At 51.8% G+C, this 19,256-nt stretch overlaps 1 protein-coding gene across 1 annotated transcript in view, besides 4 other annotated features; it reads right to left on the bottom strand.

The window, feature by feature from the left end:
- GPR26 (G protein-coupled receptor 26) overlaps positions 1-12,962 on the bottom strand; it is a 31,045-nt gene extending 18,083 nt beyond the window's left edge. Inside the window, exons 1-2 of the mRNA NM_153442.4 lie at positions 12,242-12,962; positions 4,386-4,499 (exon numbers count right to left, since the gene is read on the bottom strand). Coding sequence (NP_703143.1) covers positions 4,386-4,499; positions 12,242-12,909 — 782 coding nt within the window. The 5' untranslated portion in view covers positions 12,910-12,962. The remainder of the gene's footprint in view (positions 1-4,385; positions 4,500-12,241) is intronic.
- Positions 7,787-8,288: an enhancer, noted in NCBI's record as "H3K4me1 hESC enhancer chr10:125430545-125431046 (GRCh37/hg19 assembly coordinates)". NCBI's record gives its function as "activates a minimal SCP1, AML or CMV promoter by ChIP-STARR-seq in primed H9 embryonic stem cells {active_cell/tissue: H9 hESC(primed)}" and the evidence as "EXISTENCE:reporter gene assay evidence [ECO:0000049][PMID:30033119]".
- Positions 12,140-12,677: an enhancer, noted in NCBI's record as "H3K27ac-H3K4me1 hESC enhancer chr10:125426156-125426693 (GRCh37/hg19 assembly coordinates)". NCBI's record gives its function as "activates a minimal SCP1, AML or CMV promoter by ChIP-STARR-seq in naive and primed H9 embryonic stem cells {active_cell/tissue: H9 hESC(naive and primed)}" and the evidence as "EXISTENCE:reporter gene assay evidence [ECO:0000049][PMID:30033119]".
- Positions 12,678-13,216: an enhancer, noted in NCBI's record as "H3K27ac-H3K4me1 hESC enhancer chr10:125425617-125426155 (GRCh37/hg19 assembly coordinates)". NCBI's record gives its function as "activates a minimal SCP1, AML or CMV promoter by ChIP-STARR-seq in naive and primed H9 embryonic stem cells {active_cell/tissue: H9 hESC(naive and primed)}" and the evidence as "EXISTENCE:reporter gene assay evidence [ECO:0000049][PMID:30033119]".
- Positions 13,217-13,754: an enhancer, noted in NCBI's record as "H3K4me1 hESC enhancer chr10:125425079-125425616 (GRCh37/hg19 assembly coordinates)". NCBI's record gives its function as "activates a minimal SCP1, AML or CMV promoter by ChIP-STARR-seq in naive H9 embryonic stem cells {active_cell/tissue: H9 hESC(naive)}" and the evidence as "EXISTENCE:reporter gene assay evidence [ECO:0000049][PMID:30033119]".

Below are 19,256 nucleotides of genomic sequence, written 5' to 3'. Positions count from 1 at the left end.
TTGCTTTCAACACAGTGCTCTGCTAATCACCAGCAGTGGGTTAAAGTTGGTCTGCATGGTGCAACCAGCTCACCCTCCCTGCATGACATGATAGCTTAGAGGGTCCTTTGCCTCCAAAACCCATGGCTTTTGATTCTCCACAAGGGCTCATTTTCTGTAAGAAGTTAAATCTTCAACTACATTTCAGAGGTCTGCCTTCAGCTTCTTCTGAGACTGGTGATGTCTACACTTGGAAATCATCTTGAAAAGAACAGCAGAAAAATAAAAAATTGCTACTGGAAATGTCAGTGATCCGGATTCCAGAGTGGATGATAAGTCCACACTGTGCTGAATGCTTTGCAGGGCGATCTTATTTATTCCTTACCATTAATTGGCTTCTCCTCACAAGCAATGTGTGTTTCTCAACCCTGACTCAAAGGAATATGGAAGTGTTTGCATCAGGCTCCCTGGAGGTGACTGTGAGATTAATCCTGTCCCCTCCACACCCTGCCCAGCCTGGCAGTCCATGTCCTGGCAGGGGAAGCAGAACTCTGATGGGGTCCTGGCCGCACCCATGCACAGCTGGGGCTCAGACGGCCCCTGGTGCAGTAAATATAAATTCACAGAAGCCCATCAGGGTGTGCCTGGAGGGGGGCGCCCAGCCACCCTAAAGACTAAGCATCTGGTTGGACATTGTGGAAGCCATGTGGGGGTAGAGGGATTGGCAAGGTCAGGTGGCTCCAAGAGGGGTGTGATTGCAGGAGGACCCACCAGGAGGCTCTATTTGCCTTGCACTCCTCTCCCTGCTGCCTTGTTTCAGGGTCTGATGTCTCCTCCCTTCAGGCCTCCTGACCCCAAGGAGGAAGACACTGATTTGACTGCTCAGGAAACATTCCCAGATAAACCCTGACATCGAGCAGGGCCCTGACGGGAGAGAAAGGTGGAGGAGGAAGTTCTGAGCATCCTCTTAGAGTGGCTGACATGGAGGTCCTGGCCACTGAAGAATGATATGAGCAGCTCAAGGTCTAGGAGGAGGGGTGGGGAGAAGGGCACTGGCACACCTCACACCCCTGACTTCCCTGACCACAGGCCAGTGAGGGCTGACAGAGAGAGAAGGCAGGCACGGGTGTCACCTGAAATGTTCCGCTAGTGAATAGAAACAGGTGCAATTAATTTTAATTACATATTTTATTTAACTTTATCATTTCACTATGAATTCTATATAAAATTACTAGTTATTATTTTAAATGTTTTTTCAGAGAAAGAGGTCTCACTATGTTGCCCTGACTGGTCTCAAACCCCTGGCCTCAAGTAATCCTCCCACCTTGGCCTCCCAAAGCCCTGGGATGACAGGTGTCAGCTGCTGACCCTGGCCAAAAATGTATTAATTTCATATATAGAGTGTGTCATGCTAAGTCTCAGAGCTCGTGTGTTTTTAAACCTATAGCATATCTATCTGGACAGGCCATGTTTCAAGTGCCCTGTAGCCACCTGTTGCTGGTGGCCCCCGTGCTGGACAGCACAGCTCTAGACCTGGCTCATGCTGTCCCTTCTCCCTGGACAGTTGCCCTGAACAGCCAGGCCCACTTCACAAGGCTTGTCCGTGAAGCCCCAGCTGTGAGAGCTCATTCCTGCCCCAGAACCTGTGGAGCCTGGGCCTTTCCCATGACACAGTGCTCCATCTGGGTTAGAGGACTACAAGATCAATGTCCCCAGCAGAGGGGAACTCCCGGGGTCGCACCAACCCATGCCTCCGCTGGAGGGATTCTTTTATGCTCCACAGAAAAGGTGCTCTAGAGATGTGCTGGCCTGGAATGTGGGTGTGTGCTCATTTTAGGAGGTGTTCTTAGGATGGCACCTCCACACACATGAGAAAGCCAAGGCAGGAGCAGCCGGGGTGGTGGCAGTGGGGCCCGGCGGGGTTCTGCCAGACATATTTTGTACTCATGAGGTTTCCTGGGCATTGCTTCTCTCCCGGGTAAGGTGCTGCTCATCCCCATGGAGGATGAACTGTTCTGTGAATGTTTTTAAAACCCAAGATGCATCAAATCCATTTGGAGGGAGCATATTGAGTTGTAATCCATCATCATCCATTTTACTGAAACGTTACTTCCTGGGCACTATTAGAGAGAACCTAGCTGTAATTTTTTTTTTAAAAGGAAAATGTTGTTGGGAAATGAAATTAAGCCAGAGAAAAGTCCAATAGTTTGAAGTTGGAGCCGTGTCACCTATCCTCTGAGGGTGCCCATTCACCTCATTAGCCCACGGCTGTCCGGCTTCTGGGACCTAAGAGGAGGCACTCTGTGTGCCCTCCCTGTCTGATGCACCTTCCCACACTGGATCAAATCCCCTCTTGGTGCAGCAGCCAGTCCGGGGCAGGGGCACTGTGGATGGTGCTGTAAGTGCCAGAGGGAAGGAGAGTGAAGACCACAGATGTCCTCTGCAGGCCTGTGCTGCCTGTCTCCATGTTCCCTGTCCTTAGATCCTCACAACACTGCACTCCTTTCTGGAGGCCCAGAGAGGCCACATCACTGACCCAAAGTCACACAGCAGGATGTGGGGGAGCTGAGGTTTGGGCTCTGGAGAGGCACACTCCAGAGTCATGCTGCTAAGTCCTCTGCCACGCCTCACTTAGGGAGCAACAGAAATCCTTTCTCCTCTGTTGCCTGGGCTTTGTGTCTTGTGGAAAACCCTGAATGATGTAAGCTGTGGCTTCCTGGCTAGATGTGGTGGGTCTAGACTACTGGTTCTCAACCAGGGGTGATTCTGGTCTCCAGGGAGCATTTGGTGATGTCTGAAGACATTTTTAGTTATCAAAATTTAGAAGGACTGGAAAGGTACCCCTGCCTCACTAGGAGGTGCTACTGGCATCCCCTGGGTAGAGGCCAGGGATGCTGCTGAACACCCCATGATGCCCAGGACAGCTCCTGGCACCAAATAAGTATCTGGCATAGAATGTCGGTGGTGCTGAGGTCTAGCGGACAGTTTTAGAAAGAAGAACCAATAGTTCTGCTCCAGTCAGACCCATCCAGAGACCTGCAGACAGGCCTTGGTTCCACGTTCAAAATGAGACACACGCTAACTAGATCTCCCCTAGAGAAAGCAGCATGCCACAGAAGACAGGGGAAGGCACCCCAGAGTTGTCTATCTGGGGAAAAGAAGAAGAGAGCTGGACTCCAGGAAGTCAGACCCAGTGTCTGCAATCCACAGGGGGCTCCTGTGAGTAGAGGACAGCCTCCTGGATGGCAGAAAGAAGAACTGGGAGCAGCGGCAGAGGCCAGAGCAAATCATGCTTCAGCTGAGTGTAAGGACAAATGGGAGGAAACAGGGCGAACTGTCCACAGGGCCCCCTCCTCACTGGGGTGTGCAAGATGCTGAGTGATGGTGAGGCAGGGGTGCCCCTCCTGGTTCCTGCAGCTGAGGATGCTGGGGGCTGCTGGCAGCTGGGATCTGTTCTTTTTCTGGGTCTCTCTCTCTCTCTTACACACACACACACACACACACGTACACACACACACGTACACACACACACACACACAGAAAACCCTGCACAGATGCTGCTTCCCAGATTCAATGAAAGCTTCCATATCCACCTTCTAATAACCATCAAAGTTCCTTTTTTATTGTCAACTTCTCAACTAGTTAAGCCCCTTTAGATGCAAAGTTCTGGAGTTTTTATTTTCCCTCCAGTGCACAAAACTGATTGAGTAATATATATTTTCCTTCTTTCTGGCTAACACATGTGGGGAGTGCTCCAGTTAGAGCAAGCTGGCTTGAGAGATACACAACCCAAGGCTAGTGTATTGCAATCTTGGCTGGCTCGAGGATCTGGAGATCTGGTAGAGAACACAACAAGCCTCACAGCACCTGGCCTAACAGTGGAAGAGCCCCTGAGCCACAGGACAAGTATGCCCACCTGGCTGGACACAGAGCATGCTACCTGCTCCCTGTGCAGGTGGCAGGTGACTTTGCTGTTGACCTGGGTGTTCAGGTTGGGGACACCTGGGGGTTGGGCCATCTTGCATTCAGTGGGCAGTAAAGCAGGATGTGGGGAGCTGGGTTTTGGGGAAGATGATGTTTCCCTCTGTCTTCTCTCACCCTCTCCTTCTCTTTAGGGCCTCCTGGGGGTTGGGAGCCTGGGATAAAGGGTGTAATTATGTGATTTAGAAATCGAGTGGGAGAGAGTCTTTCACACCCTTTGGGTTCTGAGTTGAATCCAAAAGAATTCGAGGGTGGAGAGGAAAAGCAAGCAGCCTCCTGTTCACTAAATCTGGCAAGTTCACTCTTGCCCCCCACAACACACCGTGCAGAAGAACGTGTGGCCAAGAGAGGCTGCCACTGCTAAAGGTCACTGGGCCCTGCCTTACTCTTCAAAGTCCCAAGACACACCTGCCAATCAGGCTCACCTGGTGATCACATAGGGCGCGAAGCACACAAGGAAGGTCCCTATGAAGGTGCTGATCTTCTTGGTGGCTCGCTGTCGCCTCCGCTTCTGCTCCTCCAGACAGCGTTCCCGCACACTGCATGTGAGAGAGGAGAGAAGGTGAACTACGAGGCACCCTTGCTAGGTCAGGATGAGGCACTATTTACTAACACAGGCAGCAGTCTCTAGTGTGAGAACTTGACTATGGAGTCGGAAAGACCCAGCGTCAACTCTTGGCTGTAGCTATTGACCTTGGGCAAGCAGTGTGACATTACTAAGCCTCAAGGTCCTCCTGTGTAAAATAATAATATGCATCATATATTTTAGTGTATTACACATAATGTAATAAAATGCTACAAGAGGCTGTTTTGAGAATTAAATGCATAAAGCACAGAGATGCATGGAATGCATTCCATGTGTGAAGCACACAAAGCCACCGGCACAGTGCCCAAGTCAGTACAAAGAAACATTAAACATTACCTCTTATTATTGCTCATATCATTCACTGATCATCTGCTATGGGCTGGCTCCAGAGTGCCCCACTCTCTAAGTAGTATCTCAGATTCTTCTCTTTACCACAGTTAATCCTGGCAGGTGTGTTTTACCTGCAAGGAAAGTTTTTACCTGCCCTGGTTTACAATGAAAAACCATGAGCTCGGCCTGGCACAGTGGCTCACACCTGTAATCCCAGCACTTTGGGAGGCCGAAGTGGGTGGATCACCTGAGGTCGGGAGTTTGAGACCAGCCTGGCCAACGTGGTGAAACCTCGCCTGTACCAAAAATACAAAAATTAGCCATGCGTGGTGGTGGGCTCCTGTAATCCCAGCTACTTGGGAGGCTGAGACAGGAGAATCACTTGAACCCAGGAGGCAGAGGTTGCAGTGAGCTGAGACCGTGTCATTGCCCTTCAGCCTGGGCAAGAAAAGCGAAACTTTGTCTCAACAACGACAACAACAAAAAAGAAGAAAAGGAAGAAGAAGAAGAAGAAGAAGAGGAAGAGGAAGAAGAAGAAAAAAGAAGAAATGAAAAGCATAAGCTCTGTGAGGCCAAGTGATTTGCTTAAGTGGAGGCAGGATTTGAACCCTCGTGCATGACTCAAAGCTGGTCTTTTACATCTGAGGCAGCCTGGACTCCATGCACACAGTATGTGGCATGAGGCTTCCTTTCCTCCACTTCTTCATGCTTCTTCCATCCACAGCCTCATCCCTGCCTGGAGCTATGGACACCACATGATGGGGTCATTGAAGGAGTCACTTGGTTCCTCCAGGGACCAAGCTTGAAGAAGCTAAGAGACTCCCAAATCCCCATGGAATCAATGACATAGCTTTGAGGATGGAATCAAGAGCCACCTGTGCCTCCAACTGTAACCCTGTTTCTGCTCCACTCTGCTGTGGGACCTTTCCAGAGGATCAAAAATGAACAGGAAAGAAGACTGTGGACACAGTTGCCCAGGAAGTGAAGATAACTTGGCAGTGCCAAGCCTGAGCTGCAGTGGCCTGGCTCCAAAAATAGGCAGTCTGTTAAAAAAATGCAAGCAGTGGAGAGAATATTCATGAGCCAGGTTCATGTACATCGCTAATGCCAGGGCAGCCTTCCCTGCCTGCCAGGAGACTCATGATTTTGATACTTAATCAAAACTCCTTTTAACTAGATTTCCTATCACAGATGGACAATTTCACATTAGTTTAGACTGAAGCCTCCTAAAATTCTTCCAAGATTTTTCCCCCTGACTTTTGCATTTCCAGGAATTTAAAGAGTTGAGAACTGGAGTTGGGCTTGGTACAAACAGATTTCGTCCTGGCTGAAAATGTATTACTCATGACTAATATTACTAATTAATTTCTAGAAATTAATATTAATTAGCAACTCACATTTCTTGAGTCTATAATATGTGTGCCATGCTAGATATCGTGATGGGGAATTATTCATTTATTTAAAACTCACAACATTTATGTGAGTGAGGGACTGATATCATCATGGTCCCCATTTTTCAGATGAGAAGATATAAATTACAGAAGTGTTAAGAAACTGGCCCAAGATCACACAGTGGGAAAATGGTGGTGATAGGGTGACCAATTGTTCCAGTTTATCTGGGACTGTTCCTGAACAGTTTGCAGGAGACTATCCAAGTTTTAAAAGGAAAAGGCTCAGATCTGAGAATCCCTCCTCTACCTCGGGCAAACCAGGACGGTTCGTCACTCTAGGTGATGGCAGGACCTGAACCCAGACCTTCTGACTCTGGGGCCATGTGCACCACCTCCAAAGCCACAGAGCTCCCCCCACTGCAGAAGTTCTCTTCCTGCCCTATGCATTTGACAGAGACAGCTGTAACCAGAGACTGTGCCAAAGGTGCAACAAGAGTGAACCAAGAGTCAGGAGGCCTGAGGTGGAGATCTGATGCTTGTGCTGGCTCTGTGACCCTCCCTGGGCCTCCAGGGACCTGGTGGACATGATTTCCTAACCTTAATGGCACCGGGCCTGCCATGGAGCCCAAAGGGTGTCTACACAGTGGGTGCTGTGCCTGGGGTTCACATCCACATGGGCCCGGTCATGCCTCTGCTTTGGGACAGACCAGCTAAAAGACTCCACAGCCATGTATAGTATGAAAGGTCGGCTCATCCACGCACCCCAGATCACAGATGGGGGAAACTGAGGCTCAAAAGAGAGAGTGATTTTTCCACTCAGGGAGTACAGTGCAGGTGGGGCTAGCATCCAGTCACTGGCTTCTAGTCTGGTGCTCCTAGTCAGGAGCCACATCACTCATTTCCTGAAATCTTCCAAAAGAAAAGGATGAATCCATCTCCTCTGCCTGGGGCTCTCCTGCTTTCCAGGTGAGAACAGGGAGGTGGCAAGAGGTGAGCAAGGCAGAGCCATCCCCAGGCTCCGAGGGAAACATCACGGCCCTCTTGCTTATTATTATGATTATTATTTAAGCACAGTATGAGAACAGCTCACCCGCTCCCAGAACAACATCACTTTGCACTTGCTGTCATTTTGTCCCCCTCCATAGCTTTGCAAAACTGAGCTCCTTGAAATCTTGCAGCCCTATGAGCTGTTATTTTACTTATATTCAGATGAGAACACTGAGGACTGGGAAGTTTACAACATGCCCAAGGTTACACAGAGAATTCAGGACAGAGTCAGGGCTCTTCCCAGGTCTCCTGAGTGAGTTCTGGGGTGGCTCCCTGAGACCCCACTGCCTGCCATAGAATCACTGAGTGGCGGGCATTCTCAAACATCCCTGGGCCTGGTGGTGGTACCCAGAGTCCTCAGACCTGCAGGCAGAATCTATGGTGCAGAGCGTGTGAGGTTCAAAGCTCTCCCGAGGCAACCCGGTCAGGTACGTTCAGTCAGAGTGCGAGCATGTGTGCAGGTGTGGCTGAGTGGGGGAGGGAGGAGGTCCCAAGGCTGTGACATGACAGTTTCCTTGAGACAAAAGGAGACAGGCCCTCCAGCATTGTGACAGGTACTGTTCAGCCAGAGTGCGAGCATGTGTGTTGGTGTGGCTGAGCGGGGGAGGGGAGAGGTCCCGAGGCTGTGACACAACAGTTTCCTTGAGACAAAAGGAGACAGGCCCTCCAGCATTATGACATGTGGGGTGGAAGAGATGTTCCCCAGCGGCTCCAGTCATAGGGCAGAGGGGATGGCACATTCTGGGAATATCTGAAAAGTCAATCAACGAGGTGATCTCAGCTAAAACCTTCCATCCACAGACACCTCCCTTCTCTCCACAAGGGGCCAGGGTCCTGAAGGATCCCTAGACAACTAAAGTCCAGCCAGAGCCCACGCTCTGAGTATTTAAGGAGTGACTCAGATTGGTTTTTCTGGCTTTTAAGGCAAGGGAACAAGCCGACTGATGGAGGGCAACAGCCCTGAGTTTGGGGTCAGGACACTGGCATAAGCAGTCTGGCCCTCAAATCCAGCAAGAGGGACCCCTGCCCTGGGCCCTGCACATTAAGAGTCCCTCATCCCTCCCCACACAACAAAGAGTTCATAGGGCTAAGGGGATGTGCCTACCTACAGCCCCGACTTTCCATTCCAAACCAAGCTCTAAATGCCTAAAACATGGAATTCTTTGCCCAAACGCCCTCATCCTGCCTGCAAGACATGTGTGGGCATCTCCCCTGGTCCCACCCTCCTGAGGATAGACTGTGCCATCTGTGTGCCCAGCTAGACGCCTGAGGGGTGGTGTTTGTGAGCAACACACGTGCATGGAATATGGGTGTGCAACGTGCAGTGTGCAAGGGAGGCCCCTCGTGGTGCTGGTTAGAGCTGGGGTGGGAGGCAAGGCAGGTGGGCCAGCTCGGCTCTCCCAGCACATATGAGGTTGATCCCCAAGGAGCCTGAGAATTCTAAATGCGAACCCAGCCTTGCCGGTCATTATAAAGGTATATTCACCAAGGCAGGAGGGCAGAACACATTTAACAGTTTGTAAGCTGAATATAGAACATCTAAGTCTCTATAGACACAGTTGGTGAGCCTCCATTTGCACTATTTGCTCCATCCATAAATCTTAGGGGCAGACCTGAGTGTGAGTCTTAGCTTGAGACACTTTCTAGATCTGTTGAATTAGGTGAGTGCTTCTCTTCTCTTAGAAAATTGGGTCTCTCATTTTCTCATCTGTAAAGTCAAGGGCACAGTGTAGTTCCTGTCTACTGAGCCACAATTCTGACACCCTCCAGAGTCAGCCACTCAGGCAACATCTGCAGACATTGCTCACAGGACACAGAGGACACACTGGGGGAACCAGCAGAGCCTGGGGCAGCCTCAGAGGAAGCTCCAGTTAGGTTTGGCACTGCTTCCCTTTGAGACCTCATCATCAACATTCTGTTTCTGTTGAATCACTAAGCCAAGCCAGTGAGTCAGGGAAGAGCAAGGTCCCTGCAACCATACCCTGGGGCCCACCTGCTCTGCCATGCCTGGGAGCACCAGGGAGAGGGGCTGCCTATAACTAGTCCCCAGCTATGGTTTGGGAGAAGTGAATGCTGCTCATTCAGATGGAGCACCAGGTGTTTAACAAATATTAGAAACTCCAAACTGCTTCAGAAACGTAACTCAAGAAATCACCACAGAAAGGCAGGAGTGCGGAATGCTTCCCAGGGCCAGGGTCCCAGATTGAATTAAGAAGAGAGGGTCCCGGGTATTTTGGAGGTGGCTGAAGCAAAGTGGTGAGGACTGCTACTTATGGTGCCAAACATCCTGCAGGTAGAGCAGACACCACCAGGAGCTTCCTGACAAAGACAAATGCCACCCTGGGTCCTCAAAACAGGTCCTTTGTAATTAAGTCCTAGCAGGCCATCAGTGTGGAGGCTGACAAAACTTCCAGTGAGCAAAGACTCCGGCTGCTGTCCTGGCTGTCCAGAGGGAGAAGCCAGCTCCTGCTGCCCAAGACCAGCACTCCTGGGTCCTACAGGCTCTCAGCACCGAATGGCCCTGAGAGGCTCACTGCCTGAGACTGGTGGTGCCTGGGGCAGCCCCTGAGCTAGCTCTGTACTTGCTCATTTGTAGGGAGGAAGAGTTTAGTGCTGTCAAGATAGAAGCTGGTGGACTGGCTGTCAGGGTCTCTTGAGGACTGGTCATCCCCTCCTGTGTTGTCCCTCCCACATGCTTGGCGGGGATCAACCCCTCAGAGAAGGACAAGTTTGTATTCACTAAAGGGGCAGTGCTATCAGGTCTGCCACTATTCCATGACCTCAGGGAGCATTAGTCCAGGGAGCCTGTTGGCACTGGCCGATGGCAACCCCGGCCCCAGAAGTCTTTTCTCTCTCCAATGAGACTGGGCCTGGAGGGTCCCAGGGCACTGGGAGCAGGGGCTCTTCAAAGCAGCCCGGGGCTAGGAAGAGATCAAGGTCCTCCCAGAGGAATGGAGGGGAAATCGAAGGCAAGCAGAGTAGCTGCCTCCACTCCTGAGACCCCAGGACTCTCTCTGCAGTGTCTGGCCTGACATCGGCCAGAGGGATTTGCAGGAGTGGAGCTGGCCCTACATCCCAAATAGGCTGAACAGGAACCACGGCCCCTCCTCTTCTGGAAGTTGGAGGAAGAGTGGGAATGCAGTTTGTACTGCTCTAAATAAGAACTGGTTCCACTCCCAGCTCAACCCTCCTCCGCTGTTAGACTCATGGTGAGAGGGCCCCCTCTAGGAGTCTTTAGTCCCGGGAGTTAAACAACATTGCCCTACATCTTCTAAGAGCAGTCCCAGCCCAAGCGCTAAGGATGCACCCTCTAAGGAAGAGCCTCTCAGCTCTGAGTCATGGAAAGGGCAATAGCTCTGCAACTGTGGCTGCAAATATTTCCTTGAAGGACACTGAACCATGCAGAGACATGTGCTGTGACAGCCAATGTATGTCTTTGTGGCAGAATGCACTCGTGTCACTCCTGTAAACCTGTGTACACATGGCCAGCTGTCTGGTACATATACAGTTTATGTGTGAACACATGAGATTGTGTGTGGAGCTCCCACGTTTACATGGCCTGGTATCTATGTGCTCTCAGTCACTCACATGTACATTCTGTTCCTGAATCTGTGGGGATTCTGTGGCTGGAAGATTGGTCCAGTGTGTAATCAGGAATGGCTGTGCTCAGGGGGACAATGAACACGTGCACACTTGCCCTTCAATGTGTCGGCATTGTGAAGGTCAAGGACTGCTTGTTACTGCTCTCGTGCAGGAAATACTCAGAATGCTCAGCCTGACACCTCCAGCCTGTCCCCTTCAACCCTGGTGTGGAACATATCCACCAGAGGATAGAGCTTCCTCTGCCCCGAGGCTCCCCTGGGTTCCCAGGGTTCTCCCACACGGAAGGCCCTCGCTGGCCCTGTCAGAGCTCTCTGCCTGCCTCACCTGCGACACCATCTGGACCCCAGCACCCCCTTATCTAGGGTCCCAGGACACAGAGCAGGGAGCCTGCCTTCCCCTGGGACAACAGGATGTAAAATAGCAGAGTCCAGACGCTGCCAGCTGTTTCCCTCCTCGATTTCCTATTCTCCTGGGGAAAGCTGAGGTGAGCTCAGGACAGCGCAGCTAAGAGTTCCCTCCTTCTCTCCCTGACAGGCTCCTGCGATGGCAGGGGTTCCCAGAGGGTACCCATGCTTGCCCAGCTCCATCTGCCCTCCTGAGAACAGCAGCCAGCGTGACGACGGAGGTGGGGGCAGATTCAGCCCCAGGAGCCTTGGGGCACACTCCTTCTGCAGGAGCCTCTAGGCACCAAGTCAGGCAGACATTGGACAGTGCTCTCTGGGGAGGGCAGGAAGAGCCCCCCACCCCACCCCTCAGGGCCCACCACAGAGAAGGACGCAGCCCGAGTCCATCAGAATTCACACACACACACACACACACACACACACACACACACACAGTCGTGAGACAGAGGCAGCGCCACACACCCGAGAAGGGAAAGACTCAGAGAAGCGACACACTTGGGTCTGAAAAGCTCTTAAGGAGCTCCCTAAGCATCGAGGCCGCCCTCTCGGCCAGAATCAAACACTTTGAAGGTCTTTAATAGGGAACAAAGACCACGGACTTCCCATGTGCCATTTAAAGTGAAAGCTACAAACACAGAAAATGTGCATGAAGAAGCCCAACAGAGTTCTGACTGTCTGTGATTTCTACCCTGATGCTTCAAAAACCGATGTATAGATGGGCTCACCCGCATTTTTTGTGGCCCTGGTTTGCTGATACCCTAAGCACCTCCTTAAGCCCCACAGCTGGGCCGCTTTCCCCACCCTCGAGTTCTCAGAAGAAACAGAGGCTCGGTGGAAAAGAGCCCCTGGGGCTAGGGACCTCCCACTCCCGCCGAGATCCCGCGCGGCTGTTCCCAGAGCCTTAGCTGCGCTCGGCTCACCTGGGGTGCAGGTCCACCAGCAGCACCAGCGTCTGCATGGTGATCACGTCGATGCGCTTGCAATGGAAGCGGGCCACCTTGAGCACCTTGAGGTACGTGCAGCAGAGCACGACGAAGGAGAGCAGGAAGCTGAGAGCGTGGAAGGCGCCAGTGAAGACGGCGAAGCGCAGGCGCTCGTCTGGCCGCCGGCTGCACAGCGTGCACGAGGCGTACAGCTGGTGGAAGCCGAGCCAGGACAGGGCGAGCGCGGCGGCTGGGAAGGTGAGCGCGTGCAGCCACGTGTAGGCCACCATGAGCGCCGCGTCGCGGAGGCGCATCTTGGCCCGGTAGCTCAGCGGGAAGACCACGGCCACCCAGCGGTCGATGCTGAGCGCGGCCATGCTGAGCATGGAGTTGGCAGCCAGGAAGGTGTCGAGGAAGGCAGCCAGGCGGCACAGGCGGTCGCCCGCCGGCTGCCGCTGCGCCACGACGCCGGCCAGCGTGAGCGGCATGTTGACCACGGTGCACAGCAGGTTCCCGCACGTGAGGTTCAGGGTGAAGAGCGCCGGCGCCTGGCGGCGGATGTCCGCGCTGTGCAGCAGGCAGAGCAGCACCAGCGCGTTGGACAGCAGCGAGACGCCCATCGTGCCCACCAGTAGCCCCGCCAGGCCCGCGTCCCACGAGTTCATGGTGCGCGCCCCGCGCCGGCGCTCAGGGTCCGCAACCCGGCGCCGCCATGGCGCTGCCCGCGGCCGGCTCAGCCCCTCGGCGCCGCCGCCGCCCGGCGACCACCGGCCCCAGCCGCCATGGCTCCCAGGAGGGCGCGCGGCCACCCCGGAGCCTCAGGCGGCCTCCCGGGCAGGCGTCTGGGCGCGCAGCCACCCGGGAGCCCCGCGCCGCCTCACGGGCAGGCACCTGGCGCGCGGCAGTGAACCCTGGCCCCCAGCAGCACCTCTGGAGCCAGCGACTGAGCGTGCGGTAGAACCCGAAGCCTTTAGCGCCCCGGGATCCTGGGTTGCAGGCACCTGCGCCCCTGCTCCGCCTCTGCCTCTGCTTCCTCCCGCTCTCACCCCATGCCCGCGAGCTCTGTCTCCGCTCCGCTCCGCGCACCCTCCCGCTCTCTTGCTTTCTCTCTTCCTCCCTCTCTGCTCTCTGGCTCGCTCTCTCTCTCTCTGCTCTCCCCTCCACCTCTCTCCCTCTCCCCGCCCCCCGCGCTGTTCTCTCCGTCTGTCTCTCCCACCCCCAATTTTCTCCCCTCTCTTGTTCTTCCCCCTCCTCTTCTCTCTGTCTCTGGAATCTGGCTGCTTCTATCACAGAAATCCCCACTGGTGCACACACAGACACACTCGCGCACACACACTCACACTTACAGGCTCGGAGGGAACCAGCCCCGAAGGCTCCGGTGCAGGGTGATTGGCTCACTGTGGCTCCCTTCCCCCAACATCCTCCATCCCCCCGTGTGTGTCAAAGACAGGCTGAGTCAAGGAAATCTCTCTGAGAAAAGGAAGGGATGCCTGGACACCTTCACGCCCCAGTGCCACCTGTCCCCGCCTGCATGCTATCCTGGCAGACCTTGACGTGAGTGTCCCAGCCTGTCTGTCCCAAGAACAGCTGCTGCATGACTGAGGTTACTCGATTCTCAGTGCCTTCTTTCCCTCGCCCTACAGCCAGAGCTTCGGCTGAATCCTAAGCCTGCTGCAGGGACCCCGAGGCTCTCTGTAACATCCCCTGGGCATCTCTCCAGCTGGGAGATGCCTTTGCTGACCCTGACTGCTCCCACCTGGGCAAGCCAGGCTGTCCACAACCAGCCTAGACAGCTAACCCTAGTATGGTGGATACTCTGTTGTCCTGCTCCAAGTTCCAGCAGCTGCCTCCTGTAGCCCTGAAGCCACACACCCCTCTGCCCTGAGACTGGTGAGGCAGCACATTCTAGTTTATGAGGGACCTGCCTGATATAAGGTGCCAGAACTCTTCAGAAAATGGGGAGGGTGTCAGCTGGCAGGCATGGTCCAAGCAACAGAGACCCTGGACACAGGGGACCCCTGCCTCCCCTCAGCAAAGTGTGCAGGGACTGTGGCCCTTCGGTTCTCAACCAAGACTCTGTGGGGAAGGGGTGGGGATGGACAGGCAGGGGCAGCTCTCAGAACCCCTGCAGCCCCCTTCAACTCTGTGAGATGCTGCCCTGCAGTGACCCCCTGCACCATGTCAGCAACCTCAGATCCCTGTCCTGGACATAGAAAGCCCTGTTCTGGAGCCTCCTGGTGTGGCCAGTGGTGACTGGACATTCCTGGGCCTCAAGCCACTAGATAAAGTAAGCCAAGCAAGGACGTGGTGGACTCTACGCCCTGAAGGTAGAGACCTCATTATACTTAATTATCTCCTTCACATAGTACCAAGCACATTGTAGATGCTGTATTGTGCCATTTTTCTTTGCTGTAAAGGAATACCTGAGATTGGGTAATTGATGAAGAAAAGAGGTTGAATTGGCTCATGATTCTGCAAGGTATGCAATCATGGCTCCAACATCTGCTCAGCTTCTGATGAGGGCCTCAGGAAGCTTCTAATCATGGCAAAAGGCAAAGTGGGAGCAGGCATGTCACATGGCAAGAGTGAAAGCCAGAAAGAGAAGGGGGAGGTCCCAGGCTTTTAAACACCATATCTCTCATGGACTGAGAAGTCATTCAGGATGGTGCCAACCCATTCATGAGGGCTCTGCCCCCATTATCCAATCGCCTTCGCCTCCCACCAGGGCCCACCTCCAACATTGGGGATTATGTTTCAACATGAGATTTGGAGGGGACAAACATCCAAACTTTATTAAATGCTCATGAAATGAGGTGTCAGGAGGGCAGAAACAAGATTCCCTCTCTTCTCTGTGTGTCCACAGATGACACTCATTGACAGTTATCTGAGTGACTGACAGCTGCAGACAGTGGAGTTCTGAAGCCAGCTCACACCAGCTCAAAAGGGCCCATTATGGGCATCTCTCTCCATCTCTGCTTCAGTGACAGCATGTTGGTTGCTTAAAATCCACCACAATGAGTTTTTGCATTATAGAAATCAGCAAACTCCATAGATCAGGGCTTCTCCCACCCCAGCCTGTGGTTAAACATTTAACGACACACCACTCACTGATTTCATAGGACCCTGGGCAACTTACTCAACATCCCTGAGGCTAGGTTTTCTTATTTACCTTTCAGAGCCGTGGTGATGACTACATAAGGTAATGTGTACGTTTAGCTTTGCTTCCCAGAGAAGGAAACAGGGCAGAATGCTAGCAATATCATCAACCCTTGGCCCCCTCATGTAGCCTACAGATTTTAGTGTTGGCTACATGTCTCATTAAATACCTGTTATATGACAGCAGAGGACGCTGTTCATCTGTGTGTCTCTCCTGCTGCCAAGGAAGTGTCCCCTACAAATAGCTCCTGGCAGGAGATAGGAGCTATTTGTGCTATAGTTTGAATGTGTCCCCCAAAGTTCATGTGTTGGAAACCTGACCCCCAATGCAACAGTATTGGGAGGTGGGTCCCAATGGGAGGTGTTTGACTCATGGAGGCACTGCCTTCATAAGTGGATTAGTGCCATTATCATGGGAATGGGTTCCTTATTAAAGGATGAGTTTGCCACCACCCCCTCCTTCTCTCTCTCTCTCTCTCCCTGTGTGTCTCCCTCCCTCTGCTCTTCCACTTTCTGCCAGGGGATGATGTAGCAAAAAGTCCCTCACCATATGCCAGCCCCTGAATTTTGGACTTCCCAGCCTCCAGAACCATGAACAATAAATTTCTATTCATTACAAATTACCAAGTCTCAGGTATTCTGTTATATCAGCACAAAATAGACTAAGATAGTGCCCAAGTACTGTCTGTGGAGTAAATCAGCCAATGTTTTGGGGTCACTATTGGATCTGTGATTCTCACACTTTTGTGTGTATCAGAGTCACCTGGTAAGCCTGGGGTGCTGGTTAAAGAGTTTGATTCCTGGGCCACACCCCCTGGGGTTTCCAAATCAGAAGGTCTGGAAGTCTGCATTTTCATGAGCTCCTTAGATAGTTCTGGTGAGGGTGGTCTGTGGTCATGCTCTCAGGAGTGTGCTCTATGAGAAATGGTCAGGGTAAGCCACTGGATGCCAAACAATCACCTGGGCACATCCTCCAACCATGACCTGATGTTCTGGCCTGGAGGCACTCACTGAAGCCTCACCAGAGACTCTAGACATGCGGGATCCCATTTATATTTTTATATCTTTATATAAATATTTATTTATATTTATATTGACAATATAACATGTCAATTAATATTCTCCTAGCACATTGGAGTTTATAAAACATGTCCAAACATTACCATACTTTATTTAGTTCTTGCAACAAAGACAGGAAGAAAAGCTTCTATTGCTGCCCCACGTTTTCCAGATGAGAACCCAAAGACTCAAAGAAGTTAAGTGACAGAGTTGGTGAGGGATGAAGCCAGTACCTCTAGCTCCATGGCTTGGCTCTTTCTGCACACTCCAGAGGTCCTCAGCCACCTTCTCAGGAAGGTGTCCTTGGGCTGTAACTTAAAAGTGTCTCAATTTTGCAACACCAAACTGATGTTGGTGACTTGGTAACTAGGTCCAACATCAATAAACAAATGAACACACACACACACACACACACACACACATTTATATACCCTCTCACATATTTTAAAGATCATTTGCTTTCTGAATTCCTAAAGGCAACATTGAAAGGTTAAAATGCCAGAAAGACACTCAGAATATATTAACTCAGTTTCCTAAAGAGACTGAGCTCATTTTCCTCTAGTTTTAAGCAAAATTTCCTGCCTTCAGTTGGACCATGGTTTGAGGGGGCGCTGATATCCCATAGTAACCAGGGCCCCAATCCTGTTAGCTTCAGCCAGGCTGAGCCTCCCCAAACATGGATTCCAACATGGCCCCAGACACCAGTTGGCAGTGAGATCACACTCAGCAAGGAGGGGAGATGCATGTCCCTATCCAGGCCTTGATACAAGTCCTCACTGCACCTCCATGAAAAGCCACATGATTGATCCCACCTGACCAGGGGCAACAAGGCCTGGAGTGTGCCCACCAGGAGAACACATTGTGGCTGGATCTGCATGGCTTGCTCCTTCAAGCTGGAGGGAAGTCAGCAGCAATGGAATGTTCGTGACAGAGTCAACGTGAATCACTAAATGCTGTAACTGGTACCCAAGGGAGAGCTCAAAACAGAACTATGGTAAAGGCAGATGGAAGTGCACGTCATCGCCTATCCTGCAGCAACCCTGCGGCATAAATATCATGATTCCATCTTGACAAGTGAAGGAGCTGAGACTCAAAGAGGTCCATATTTGTTTAAGGTCACTCCAAGTAAGCACCAATAGATAGAATAAAATGAATTGATGAAAAGTCAGGATTCAAATCCATTGTTATTTCCACTGTGCTACTGTCTTTAATCCATGAATATGCCTGAGTACACACTCCAATGAGAGGTTGCAGACTGCAGTGGTCCTTTCCACCACTATCTTTAGAAAGAGATGAAATATTGATATAAAATGAACACAAACCAGAATGTCACCAATGCCCCAAGGGAAGTTTTGTAAAAGTGCCATGGACACAGAGAGCACAACCCTTGGGGAAATCTGGAGCTCTGCAAGTGGAGTGGGACCAGGGCCTGGCATTCCATGGGAAAAGAAGTGCCTGAGCAAATGCCTGGAACCTGAAGCCTGGCATGTGGTTGTGGCTCTTGAGCATAACATAGGTCTGTAGAAAAGCAGGAAGAAAGAGCATTGGCAAACTCTGGATGCAAACTGTGGATGCCAGCCCAATGTCAGGCTGGACAGGAAGGTCAGTCCCATTCAGATGTTAACTTCAGGACCTGCAGCATCCAGTCATTCTGGGGATAGGTCCCTTCTAGTCTCTCCACCTTGGCCCACCAGCAGTTCTCTATTTTTAAAGCTTTTACAAATCTGATTCTTCATGGGATTCTTGTAGAACCCTGGGAGTTGTAGGAATGACACAGAGATAAGAATTCTGAAACCCTACAGGAGATGTTCATTGCATAAGAACATGTGGCAAACCAGGGCCTGGAACTCAGGATCCTGACTGCTGTCTAATGGTCTCTCTGCTACTACTATCAGACAGGTGGTCCCTGCCCCCAGGAAAGCTGTTTATGCACACCCCTGGCCCAGTCCTCAAGTGGGGTAAGCCGAATCATGAAAGCAAAGTCCAACAGCACCATTGAGCCTCCAGCTCACTTGCTCATTATCAGATAGGACAAGAATTGGCCTGCTAGACAGGGCCTTTGCCACTCCTGAGTCTCTGGCTGGCCCAGGCCCCATAGGCCAGGCAGAAGGCCCAGCCAGAGAGAAGAGGAAGCCTACTGCCTGGAAGTGTCAGCTGATGAACTTTTGGAAGAAGCTGAGGCCCCACTGTCTGAAGGGACTCAGAAAGCTGAGCAACATCTATTGAAGGTTTGCTAGGATCCCTTGCTTTACCTCATGTAAGTTTCATGGCAGCCCTTTACTAGAGATACTTTAGTTACCCCATCATACAGATGAGGAAACTGAGATTCAAAGAGATTAAGCAGCATTCCCAGGGGGCCAGAGCTGATGAGGGAGGTGATGTGGACCCAGGCCTATGTTCATAAACATGCTGACTCTGTTCTAATGCCCAGGTTTGATTCTCCCAGTCTTTCCAGATGATGCCCAAATGCCCATCACTCCCATTCTTCTCTCCTCTAACTCTCTCCCCAAACCGAGTGCTTGGACTGAATGCCAGCTGAGTAGTATATAAAGTCAGTGTCTATCTGAGGGCTCGCTGTGGACTAGACCTTCTGCTAAGAACATTAAATTCATTTCTCCTCTTATCATTCATAGGATAGGGATAATTACCCTGATTATGGACTGGGTGTCAGAAACTTGCAGCCAAGCAGCTTGCTTAAGGTCTCACAGATGCCCCGTGGCAGATCTGAAATGAGAACGCAGGTCCTCCCTCAGCCCAGGACTTCATCGCCTACACCACAGTTGCCCCACAGTTGGAG

Source organism: Homo sapiens, chromosome 10 (genome assembly GCF_000001405.40).
Source record: "Homo sapiens chromosome 10, GRCh38.p14 Primary Assembly".
Taxonomy (NCBI): Eukaryota; Metazoa; Chordata; class Mammalia; order Primates; family Hominidae; genus Homo; species Homo sapiens.
This window is presented reverse-complemented; position numbering and strand designations above follow the sequence as displayed.